General features: G+C 41.6%; 2 annotated features.

Annotated features, from left to right (window-relative positions):
• Nucleotides 2,462-2,662: a silencer, noted in NCBI's record as "peak1767 fragment used in MPRA reporter construct". NCBI's record gives its function as "represses an SCP1 promoter by STARR-seq MPRAs in K562 erythroleukemia cells {active_cell/tissue: K562}" and the evidence as "EXISTENCE:reporter gene assay evidence [ECO:0000049][PMID:32103011]".
• Nucleotides 10,823-11,323: an enhancer, noted in NCBI's record as "H3K4me1 hESC enhancer chr12:66132196-66132696 (GRCh37/hg19 assembly coordinates)". NCBI's record gives its function as "activates a minimal SCP1, AML or CMV promoter by ChIP-STARR-seq in primed H9 embryonic stem cells {active_cell/tissue: H9 hESC(primed)}" and the evidence as "EXISTENCE:reporter gene assay evidence [ECO:0000049][PMID:30033119]".

The raw sequence follows: 12,521 nt of genomic DNA on the forward strand, positions 1-12,521 counted from the left end.
ACTTACTTCCTCTGTGTTGTAGGAAATTTTAATGATTTTACTCATTAAAGTACTTTTTTTATTTATTTTACTCAATAAAGTACTATTGTACTTTATTTTTTATAGGAAAAATACGTGATTTATTGATGTACTTATGTTGTTCTTTATAAACTAAAATTCTTTCAGTTTCTTCCTTTTTCTTTTCCAATTCTCCACCTCTCCTCCCAGTACACCTCACCCTATAGGTAAGATTCCAGTTTCCAGGAGAAGGGATAAAGCCAGCTAAATTAAATTTCACCTTTCACCTATTTCTGCTGTGATCTATAACACCCCACTTAAGGTATTCAAGATTTTTCATTAGCTAAAATATTTTCTTGTTTAGGAAGCTTTAGTAGAAATATAAAGAATTGAGTTTCTGTTTTTCCTTTTATCAACAAAATACCTATTAATCATTTTGATTGTATATGCACATGGCTCTATTAAAACTAGAAAGCATAATTACATAAAATTAAGTAAAATGTACCATACCTTTTTGATAAAATGAAAAATAAATTACATTTATCTTTTCTTTGCTAAATAAAATGTATTTTTGTAAGTTTTGACTACATTTGACAACACTTAAATGAGTAAGTTTTGACTAATGATTATATCCCTTGTATTTTCTCTTAATAATAATTTAAATTGTTTTTAATTAGCTGGGGCACGTGCAGTTTAAATTTTCTAATAGTCTAGGGATAGAACAACTCTTAACATATTTTTAAACATCGATAGTGTCAGTTTTCAAACCTGGATGTTATTCAAGTCCACTTCATGTTAACATATTTTTCTCTGTGGATAACAAATACAACAGAAAAATTTTGCCAGTGTAAATAGCCAATGGAATTATGAATAATCATGTTAATAATGTTAATAAAAAGGTACAGTTAAATGAGGGAGACAATTAGTTCACACCATTTTGGTTTATTTATTTAGCAGTGAGCATTGTATAACATGTCAATCCCGGGAAAAAGAAACAGACATAAAGGGGCTTAACATTACTAATAAAACAATCAGTATCAAAATATTTTATGTAACAATTTGTCCGTGTTCATATAATAATCTGTCAACTCTGTGATTTGCTTATTATGTGAATTAACTCCATAATCGCTCTGAGATTGAATTCAGTGACACCGTTTAACTGCTTCTGGTTTGGGGGCTTTTACTCGATATTTTTAGGTAAGGAGCTGTCAGGCTAATCTGAGGACATTTAGGGAAAGCCAATAAACTGTCACGAACTTAAAACAAGTGAGGTTTCTCGTGGTTTGGTCGAAATTTTAACACTTCTCCTCTCCTACCCTTCACCTCTTCTCCTCAAAACACTTTTTTTTCTTTTACAATAACTGTAAATGCCAGCTCTAAATTTCCCTCCAATCTGGGAAAGTCCAATCTCCCTTCCTCGAGAGGTGTCTGGGCGCAATACTCTCCGGCCCGAAGCAAGGGGACGTTTGCGAGGAGGGAGAAATTTAAACCCCCTTCGCTCCGCGCCACCTGGGAGCACTTTGGCGCCGCAGACTCAGGAGCCGACGCCATCTCCAGGACGGCCTCGGTGGCCTCGGCAGGAGGCACCTTCGGGGAGCGGTCCCGCACTCCTCCTTCCTCAGTCCCCGGTCCTCTGCACCGCTCCCTCTCTGCTGCCAGAGGACCTGTCCGCGAGCTCCCCGCGCTGCCCTGGGGACGGAAAAGTTTGTTTCTCCAACGCGCAACTTTCCCGCTCCAGGCGGCGGGGACCCCGAGCCGGAGTTTTGGCCAAAAAATCCCAGAGTCCTATACCTCCTGCGCGCCCAGACCTCGGGGGCGAAGGGCGGCTCCCCCGGCGCGCCCCGATCCCCGCCGCAAAGAGGACTTGGTGGACTAGAGGTGCACCCCGCGGGCAGCCCTTGGCGCCCCGCTCTGCGCCCGCCGGCATGAGGACTCGTGCGTGGCGTTTCGACCCTCCGCCTGAACTGAGACTGGGTGGGGAAAGGGGCAGACTGCTGTCTGTGACTCTGCGGGAGGTGGAGCACGAAACACAAAAGCTGTTTGAACCACAAACGCCAGGCTGGACACCCAACGAATATTAATGACCTGCAGCCTCCACCCACCCGCAAACATAATATTATGTGTACGTGCTTACCGGTTAGCTTAACAGACTTGCCATCATAAATTCCTTTTTCACTGCAGCGCCACTAGATTTGTTGTGATTAGGATGCAGCCACTAAATTTGTTGTGATCTCCTGTTTGTGAATGGAAGTTGACTTACATCTTTTGTAGCAGATTGCTACTTAGGATTTTTTTTTAAAAAATTATCGCAGATTTTTCAAATCAGAAAATTCCCAAATGACATAATCATACAAATTGATATTTTAACCGACTCTTTTTTGAGGAATGCATTCCAAAATCTTTCAGTTCCCATCATGCAAGACAAATAAGCATAGTAATTTGGAAAGTGAAATTAATGATCAAGATAATTTTGGAAAGGAATAGAAAGGACCAACTGAGACTTATATCTATTTACTTATCAGAAACTTTATGACTGATCCTAATTAGAAAACAAAGCAATGCCAGGAATGTCACATGCTTTTTAGATCTTGGTATCTTGTCTGGGCAAACATCCAGTGTTTGACACTACAAAGAAAGGGACAACATTGTGCAGCAGATTTCCAGGAGTAAATAATATATCACAGGAATCTTTGAAAGAACATCACTTATTTAGTGAGTGAGTGAATATTTGAACAACTGCTTCTATTGGGAAGGGTAAGAAGGAATTGAGGGATAGACTATAAATGATACAGCTCCCCTGCCCTCATAGATCATCCAGTTTAGTGATAGGAAAGAGGAAGAAATTTTACAAATAAAAGATAGCGGGGCACGGTGGCTCATGCCTGTAATCCCAGCAGTTTGGGAGGCTGAGGCCGGTGGATCACGAGGTCAGGAGATCGAGACCATCCTGGCTAACACGGTGAAAACCCGTCTCTACTAAAAATACAAAAAAATAGCTAGGCATAGTGGCTGGCGCCTGTAATCCCAGCTACTCGGAAGGCTGAGGGAGGAGAATTGCTTGAACCCAGGAGACGAAGGTTATAGTGAGCCACATCGCGCCACTGCACTTCAGCCTGGGTGACAGAGTGAGACTCTGTCAAAAAAAAAAAAAAAAAAAAAAAAGATACCAAAGGGTAGAAAAGTGGTAAATCCCTCAAGGTAGGATCTCAATAAACTCATGGGGAATTCCATGGAGGGGAGATTACAGTCAGCTGAAGGATTGTCCAATTGTAAACTGAGTCTGGCCAAACTTCAGTCTGTCTTGGGCTCCATGTAAGTGAAAGAGTTCACTGAAGTTTGTTTCTCTATTAGATGCGTCTCTGATAAGAATTTAGTGTACTACCTCTTCTAGAGCCTTCAGTATGTTTCCTTCTATCAACTTTAAGTTGTCACTTTCTTCCTTAAGTTTGTTAAGCAGTCATTTTGTGAGCCAATTTCTGTAAATTGAGGCTGAGCTGAGATGACACAATCAAAGGGAGTCAAAAGTTATGAGCTAAGTATGTTTTACGTATTACTTCTTTCCAGAAAGAATCTGGGTGGTCTATGACGGAAAACACCCCATTTAAAATGAATTGGTAAAATCAAAATAGAAAACCAGGAGAAAAAAAAAGAAAAAGGAAACTTGAAATAAGCCAACCCTAAGAGTTAACATGATTACTGAGATTGTGCTTCAGATTTGGGTCTGAGCTTCTTATAGCCAAGGTAAAGAGAGAAAAAAACGTAAGTGACATCAATCTTGCTGTTGAAAAAAGCAAAGAATGCCTGTTTTCAAATGAAATGAAATTACAGAAGGAGTTTACTATATGGAGTGCCACAAAGGGCTCTGAGGGATGTAACAGGCAATGTCTTAGCAGTATTTTTATGGAAAAGCAAAAGAGGATATTGCAGCCCTGTTTCTTATAATAACCTCCCATGAAAACCAAGACTTCAGTGAAGGTGAGTCCTGTCAGACTAAGCTAGTATAATTCTGTATTTGGGGATTCGCCTTGAACGCTAAATAACATATCCACTCTGCAGTCTTCCCCATGTATTACTTCTCTCAGCTGGGATCTTGGTAAGAATCAAATAATTGAAAAAGTTAAGATTTTTCTCTCTGGCAAGAGCCCAGTGTTTTAGTATTTCTTTTGGATCATAGAAGACACCTTCACAGGGTCTGGAAAACAACTGAGCAAATACTAAATTTGCCATCCTACAAAAGTTGCAGAAGCAAATCAGTGTTTTCTCACTGATGAAGACCACCCCAGTTTTCCTCCAAGGTAAGCTGCAGGGACACCTCAAGATTGGGCCCAAATTTTCCTTAGGAAGTTGCTTTGAATGTGCTCCAGTGCTTGAACAAATGCTTAATTGAGTCCCTAGAGATATACAGCGTTTGGGCATAGAAAATTTTCAAAGCTGGTGTTTCCTAATCACCGACAGTGGCTGGCGGAAAACATCAGGACTCCCACGGCACCTCTGACTGAACAACATGGTTTTCCAATGGAACTCCAGGATGAGTGCATTGCAAAATGTCATTGAATGAGTTGACAATAGCTCCCACAAACGATGAGTTTTAATTTCATTATCATTGGTTAGCCATTATTTTTAGCAGGAGTTAGATACTGCAACTACCTTTTGTGAGGCAATTTCTGGTTCATGATAATAAGATACTATGATCAGACCAGAAGAGGATATCTATCTTCCTATTTGTTATGGTAGGGGAACTTTGAAAAGAGAAGGGACATCATTCTATTTCATACTCCTCAAAGGATTATTATCTGATCTGTTCCTTCTCTTCTTGATTCTAATAAAGGGTGTTGGAGTAGAAACTTTTTTTTGAATTTTTTTTATTGTAAAAAATAGTTGGCCGGGTGCGGTGGTTCACGCCTGTAATCCCAGCATTTTGGGAGGCCAAGGCACGTGGGTCATGAGGTCAGGAGTTCAAGGACAGCCTGACAAACATGGTGAAACCCTGTCTCTACTAAAAATACAAAAATTAGCTGAGCTTGTTGGCGTGCGCCTGTAATCCCAGCTACTTAGGAGGCTGAGGCAGGAGAATCGCTTGAACCCGAGAGGCGGAGATTGCAGCGAGCCAAGATCACACCACTGCACTCCAGCCAGGGCAACAAGAGCGAGACTCCATCTCAAAAAAAAAAAAATACTAATAATAATGCATAACATAAACTTGATCATTTTAATCATTTTTAAGTGTACAGTTTTGTGGCATTAAGTACATTCACAATGTTGTGCAACTATCACCACCATCCACTTCTAGAATTTTTCATCTTTCCCAGTTGAAATTCTGCATACAATAAACATGAATTCTCCCATTTCTCCCTTCTCCAGCCCCTGGCAACTACTATTCTACTTTCTGTCTATATTCTAGGTACCTCCTATATTCTAGGTACCTATATTCTAGGTACCTCCTGTAACTGCAGTCACACATTATTTGTCCTTTTGTGACTGGCTTATTTCACTTAGCATAATATCTTCAAAGAGAATTTTTTATAAGAACATTATTAACTAGTAATCTACGTTAAAACCATGCAATGTGACTTATAACCAATTTCTATCCACAAAATTAAGAGTCAGTGAAACTTGTAGACCATCTTACATTATTCTCGGCAGATAGCTCCACAAGGTGATGGGGGATGTATCATCACTGAACATTAAGAGAGGGCAGGCCAGTCACAGTGGCTCAAGCCTGTAATCCCAGCATATTGGGAGGCAGAGGCAGGCGAATTATTTGAGTTAAGGAGTTTGAGACCAGCCTGGGCAACAGGGTGAAATCCCATCTCTACCTAAAAATACAAAAATACAAAAAAGTAGCTGGGTATGGTAGTGTGCGGTATGGTAGTCCCAGCTACTCAGGAGACTGAGATGGGAGGATCTCTTGAGCCCAAATGCTGAGGCTGCAGTGAGTCATGATCACACCACTGCACTCCAGCCTGGACAATGAAGTGAGACCCTGTCAAAAAAAAAAAAAAGAGTAGCTACATATATAGCCTACTTGCTCCTTGTGCAAATGTCAGGCCAAAAGCCTCAGACATACAGAAAACTGGAAAAAGTCTTAGATTAATTATGAAAAAATAATTGTTGGGTCCAGGCATGGTTGCTCAAGCCTGTAATCCCAGAACTTTGGGAGGCTGAGACAGGAGGAATGCTTGAGCACAGGAGTTCGAGACCAGCCTGGGCAACACAGTGAGACCCTATCTCTATAAAAAATAAAAAATTAGCCAGGTGTGGTGGTGCATGCCTGTAGTCCCAGCTACTCAGGAGGCTGAGATGGGAGGATCTCTTGAGTCTGAGAGGTCGAGGCTGTAGTGAGTCACTGCATTTCAGCCTGGGCAACAGAGTGAGACCCTGTCTCTAAATTTTTATTTTTTTAACTGTTGGTCTTATAATTTGTGAGATGAAGAGAGTTGCTGGTAGATCATTATGAGTGTAAACAGACAAGGTCCTAGCAGACAGGTGGTTTGAAATAAATAATTTGGTAAAACTAGCACATATCAATCAGAACAGGCCATAAGTCATCTCTGGTAGTGTTATAATTATCCATTGCTATGAACAGATATCCCCCAAATCCAATACCTTAAAACAGCCATTTTACTTTGCTCACAATTTTGTGGGTCAGAAATCTGGGGATAGCTCAGCTGAGCAGTTCTCTTCTGGGGTTACTCATGTTGTTGTACTAAGATATTTGCTGAAGTTGCCATCATCTAAAGATTACATGGCTGGGTAGATGATGCTGGCTATTGGTTGGGAGCTCAGATGGGGCTGTCAATAGAGTGACTACATGTGGCCTCTTAAGCATAGCAGTCTCAAGATACTGACTTCTTACATAGCAGCTGGCTTACCCTAGTGTGAGCATCCCAAGAGGGTCAGGGAGAGGGGCAAGGGGGGATGGTGTCCGTGGCCTTTCATGATCTAGCTTGGGAAGTCATACAGCATCATGTCTGCCATACTCTACGTGTTGAAACAAAGTTATCCAGATTTGCATGGAGCAGGCATCTTCTCTTAGCAGGAAGAATATCCAAGGACTTACATCAATTTTTAAAATAACCATTACAAGTAGCAATATGCTTTAACCCAGAATTATAATATGTTAATCAATTGTTCTGTGGCAGAGGAGTTTGTAGGACCTAGCTCAAGAGGTGTCAAAGATCTACAAAATTTCATATAGTTATTCTGTGATTCTAATGTCCTTTTCTCCTCCTTCCTGTCTTTTAAAGCAACGTGATGGCTGCAGTCCAGCATCCATTGTGGACCATGAGGCAATCTTGAGAATGGAAACCATACAATACAATAGTCAAAGAGGAAAGGTAAAAGGAGTAATTGATGACTGTGAACCCACCATACCAGTCATGGATTACCTTTGCAAGAGAGAAAAAAAGTTCTGTCTTGTTTAAGCCACGTTTATTTCAGATCTCTGTTATTAGCATCTGAAAGCAATTCCTAAATGCTATCCTTCCCAAATTTTCTAACTAGGCAATTAAGTTATGAGTACAGAGAGATGGGAGCAGCAAAGCTCAAGATTAGGATGATAAAGAAACAATCATTTTCAGGCCAGACGCAGTGGCTCACACCTGTAATCCCAGCACTTTGGGAGGCCAAGGGGGGCAGATCACTTGAGGTCTGGAGTTCGAGACCAGCCTGGCCAATATGGTGAAACCCCATCTCCACTAAAAATACGAAAACTACCCAGGCGTGGTGGCAGGCTCCTATAGTCCCAACTACTCCAGAAGCTGAGGCAGGAGAATCACTTAAACCGGAGAGGCAGAGGTTGTAGTGAGCTGAGATTACGCCACTGCATTCCAGCCTGGGCAACAGAGCAAGACTCGGTCTCAAAAAAAAAAAAAAAAAAAGAAACGAACATTTTCAATGTAGTATTCATCCAAGTGTAGCATTAAGCAAAAATAGACTCAAGTATCTAAAGTATCATTCAATAGTCATTGATTGAGTACTCACTATGCAGATGAAAGACAAGTTAAAAAATAATTGTAATACTAAGTGATAATGCAAAATAGAAATATGTGATGTGTAAAGTACCATGGTTGAATAGCTAATGAAATGATTCATTTAGGTTGGATCGATCAGTGAAGTTTCACAGAAGTTGTGACATTTGGGTTGGATCTTGAAAGATAATGGGAGCTTTGAAGGTGAATGAAAAAAGAAGTGGAAGAACATTCCTGGTAGATGGAACAGCATATGCCAAAGCACAGAGGTATGAATAGTCCAGTGTATTGTAAGTCCTAAGAGTCTGGTTTTTTCTGAGTTAAAGATGCAGGGAAATGTAGTTTTGAAGAGTTTGAGTTAAACCAGATTTGAATCCCAGCTCTGCTCCTTGGTAGCTGGGTGGCCTTGGTCAATAGCTTTTTAACATATGCTGAGGAGACTGGACCTTATGATGTAAGTTGAGGCTGTTCCTAAAAGGAAAACAAGCGTATTTGGGTTTTTGAAAATCACTATGACTGCAGCTTAGAGGATAAATGAAAGAGGGTACATTGAGGTCAGAGGACAAATTAGAAGACTCTTCATTCAACAAACATCTATTGGGTGCCCTCTGTGTGCACACAGTGAGGCACTGAGAATTCAGCAATGAACAAACAGACAAAATCCCCACCTTTGTGGGGTTTATATTTTATTAGGGAAAACAGATATTAAACAAATAAGGACATACATAGATAACGTAAGCACTAAGAAAAAAATTAAGATAATGAAGGGTTTCAGGTTACTATTTTATGTAGGTCAATCAAGAAAACTTCATGGACACAGAGTATGAAATAATAGGCAGTGAAGACTTGGAAGAGTGGGGGTGTGGGAGAGGGATGAGGGATGAGAAATAACTTAGTGGGTACCATGTACATTATTCAGGTGATGGTTACACTAAAAGCCCAGATTTTACCACTAGGCAATACATCCATGTAAGAAAACAGCACTTTTACACCTTAAATTTGTACAAATGAAAAAGAAAAAGTGTCTTTGAAAGGAGATGTTTGAGTAAAGAACTGAAATAAATAGTGAGCTGTGCAGATACCTAGGGGAAAAGATACCAGGAAGAAAGAAGAAGTGTACCATCCTAAGGGAAGAACATGCTTAACATTTTAGGGAGCAGGGAGAAGATCAGTCTGCCCACAATACAGTGGTAGAAGACCAGTGTGGTGATTACAAAGGGAAATTGGGAGGCTCTGACCTACTAGAGAGGAGTGGGAAACAGAGGAAGATAAGGAGCTTGCTATTTTTAAAGGCAGATGGATAGGGCTTGATGGCCAGTTGAATATGGGGAGTGGAAAGGAAAGGAACCTTGCATGACTGCCAGATTTCTGGACTAAGCAAATGCACAAGTGGTGTCACTGGTAGAGAGAGAATGCAGGAAAACCAGCACACCATGCAGTCAGTTTGGGACCTGTTCAGTCTGGTGTGCTGATCGAAATTCTGGTGGAGATGCTTTGTTGAAGTTTGGATATACAGATATGGAGTTCAGAAAGGAGATGCGGCCCAGATATACAGGTTGTTAGCACTTTATTGAGATACTCATTTTCAGTGTTGGGTTATTCACTCATTCATTCATTCAACTAATATTTACTGAAAGCCAAATATGTTATGCTAGACCCTGGGTAGTATAAAACAGACACAGCCCCTGCCCACATGAAGCTTACAGTCAGGTGGACGAGACAGACAAAAAACAAGTAAACAACAAAATGGGCCAGGTGCGGGGGCTCACATCTGTAATCCCAGCACTTTGGGAGGCTGAGGAGGGCAGATCATGACATCAGGAGATCGAGACCATCCTGGCTAACGTGGTGAAACACTGTCTCTACTAAAAATACAAAAAAATTAGCCGGGTGTGGTGGCACGCACCTGTAGTCAGCTACTCAGGAGGCTGAGGCAGGAGAATCTCTTGAACCCAGGAGGCGGAGGTTGCAGTGAGCCAAGATCCCACCACTGCACTCAAGCCTGGAGACAGAGTGAGACTCTGTCTCAAAAAAAAAAACAAACAACAACAACAAAAAAAACAAACAGTGCTAAAAGAGTATAGAATGTCTTAAAGAAGGCCTTTCTGAGGTCACATTTAAGCTGAAACCTAAAAGATAAGATGAAGCCATCCATGCAGAGTGTGGGGAAGAGAAAGCCAAAGAAGTCATGCTGAGCTAAGGGGGAGGGGCCCAGGGTGACTGTGGAGAAGTACGCAGAGACTGGATCATGCAGGTCTAGCAGGCCATGGCACAAAAAAGTTTGAAAATCGTAAAGAATGGCAGTGACACAATCCAATTTGTGGTTTTAAAAAATAAGGCCGGGCACAGTGGCTCATGCTTGTAATCCCAGCACTTTGGGAAGACCCCCGGGGTCGGCGGATCACTTGAAGTCAGGAGTTTGGGGCTGGCCTGGTCAACATGATGAAACCCTGTCTCTACTAAAAATACAAAAAAATTAGCCAGGTGTGTCGTCTGTAATTCCAGCTACTTGGAAGGCTGAGGCACGAGAATCACTTGAATCCAGGAGGTGAAGGATGCAGTGAGCAGAGATCATGCCACTGCACTCCAGCCTGGGCGACAGCAATACTCCATCAAAAAAAAAATTAAATTAAAATAATAAAAATGTTAAAATCCGCTTGTGGGGTGGAGGGGTGGTGATGGATGGAGAGATGTTGGGGGGTGTGGGAAGGAGAGATTAGAAGGAGGCAATAGAAGCTAAGAAAACCAGTAAACAAGGCTATTGCAGCCATCCTGGTGAGAGATAGGGCTTGGCGTACAGGAGGACAGCGAAAATAGAACTAGAACGTTCCTAGATAGGCTTTGGATGTAGAATAAATAGAATTTGGTGATGGATTAGGTGTGGAGAGTAATGAACACATAATAAAAAAAAGTGACTCCGAGGTTTCTGCCTTGATCAGTTGGGTGTTTGGTAGGATTCTCTCTCTCTCTCTCTCTCTCTCTCTCTCTCTCTCTCTCGCTCTCTCTCTCTCGCTCTCGCTCTCTCTCGCTCTCTCTCAATCTCTTGCTCTGTTGCCCAGGCTTGAGTGCAGTGGCGCGATCTCGGCTCACTGCAAGCTCCGCCCCCCAGGTTCACCCCATTCTCCTGCCTCAGCCTCCTGAGTATCTGGGACTACAGGCGCCCGCCACCACGCCCGGCTAAGTTTTTGTATTTTTAGTAGAGACAGGGTTTCACCTCGTTAGTCAGTATGGTCTCGATCTCCTGACCTCGTGATCCGCCCGCCTCGGCCTCCCTCTTTCTTTTTTTTAAGAGACAGAGTCTCGCTCTGTCGCCCAGGCTGGAGTGCAGTGGCGCGATCTTGCCTCACTGCAACCTCTGCCTCCCGGGTTCAAGCAATTCTCCTGCCTCTCAGCCTCTTGAGTAGCTGGGACTACAGGCGCACACCGCCACGCCCAGCTAATTTTTTTTTTTTTTTTTTTTTTTTTTTTTTGATTTTACTAGTGACGGGGTTTCACCGTTTTGCCCAGGCTGGTCTCGAACTCCTGAGCTCAGGTGATCTGCCCGCCTCAGCCTCCCAAAGTGCTAGGATTACAGGCGTGAGCCACCGCGCCCAGCCGGATTATTTCTTTTTATTGAAAAGACCGGGAGAGATATATTTTGGAGATGTGAAATCAGGAGTTCAATTTTGGACCTGTCAGGTTTGAAATGCTTGGGGAGCCTTCGAAGAGAGTGGGATTGAGCTCAGGGGAGATATCTGCCCTGGGGGTAAAAGTTTTGGAACCATCAACATGTAAATAAAATCCGTAAGAATGTTTAAGATCACCTTGGGATAGATGAAAGAGAAAGAAGAGAAAGCCCTGGTAAATTTCAGCACTAATGCTGAGAAAAAAGAGGATGTCAACCACATTGTTTGGTGTGTTTGTTTGTTTACTAACAGTTTAACAATATAGATTTTTGAGATAGTTTGTTAGGGTATATATTTTGTTATATATATATCTATGGTATATATTTTGACACCATGGTAGAATTTCTCTGTATAACCTTTCAACTTACTTCTGCTTTGCACTGATATATTTTTACTGAGAGTCTCATGCCTCATACAGGCTATAGGAATGTTTGTTATTAACCCAATTATTTGTTGAGTAAGATACAACACCCCTTCCCCCTTTTGTCTGTCTCTAAATTTACCAAATGCAAAAAGAAAATCTCAAAAAACAAAGAAAGTGGAAAGCTTTTGACCGATTTTTAAAAATGAGTAGGTAGTTTAATTTCAAGTAGTCAAGAATTATGATGTCATAAACATTGTTTACATGGTTCCTTTTTGGTTTTAATATCAGTTTGCTACAATACAATGCATTTATAATTACAATTTTGTTAAGATATACTTGCTGCAAGTCAACCATTTTTCATTAAATAAAGATGTTCTTGGCCGGGCACGGTGACTCACGCCTGTAATCCCAGCACTTTGGGAGGCCAAGGCGGGCGGATCACGAGGTCAGGAGATCGAGACCATCCTGGCTAACACAGTGAAACCCCGTCTCTACTAAAAATACAAAAAACAAAACAAAACAAAA

The sequence above is a fragment of the Homo sapiens genome, chromosome 12 (assembly GCF_000001405.40).
Source record: "Homo sapiens chromosome 12, GRCh38.p14 Primary Assembly".
Lineage (NCBI taxonomy): Eukaryota > Metazoa > Chordata > Mammalia > Primates > Hominidae > Homo > Homo sapiens.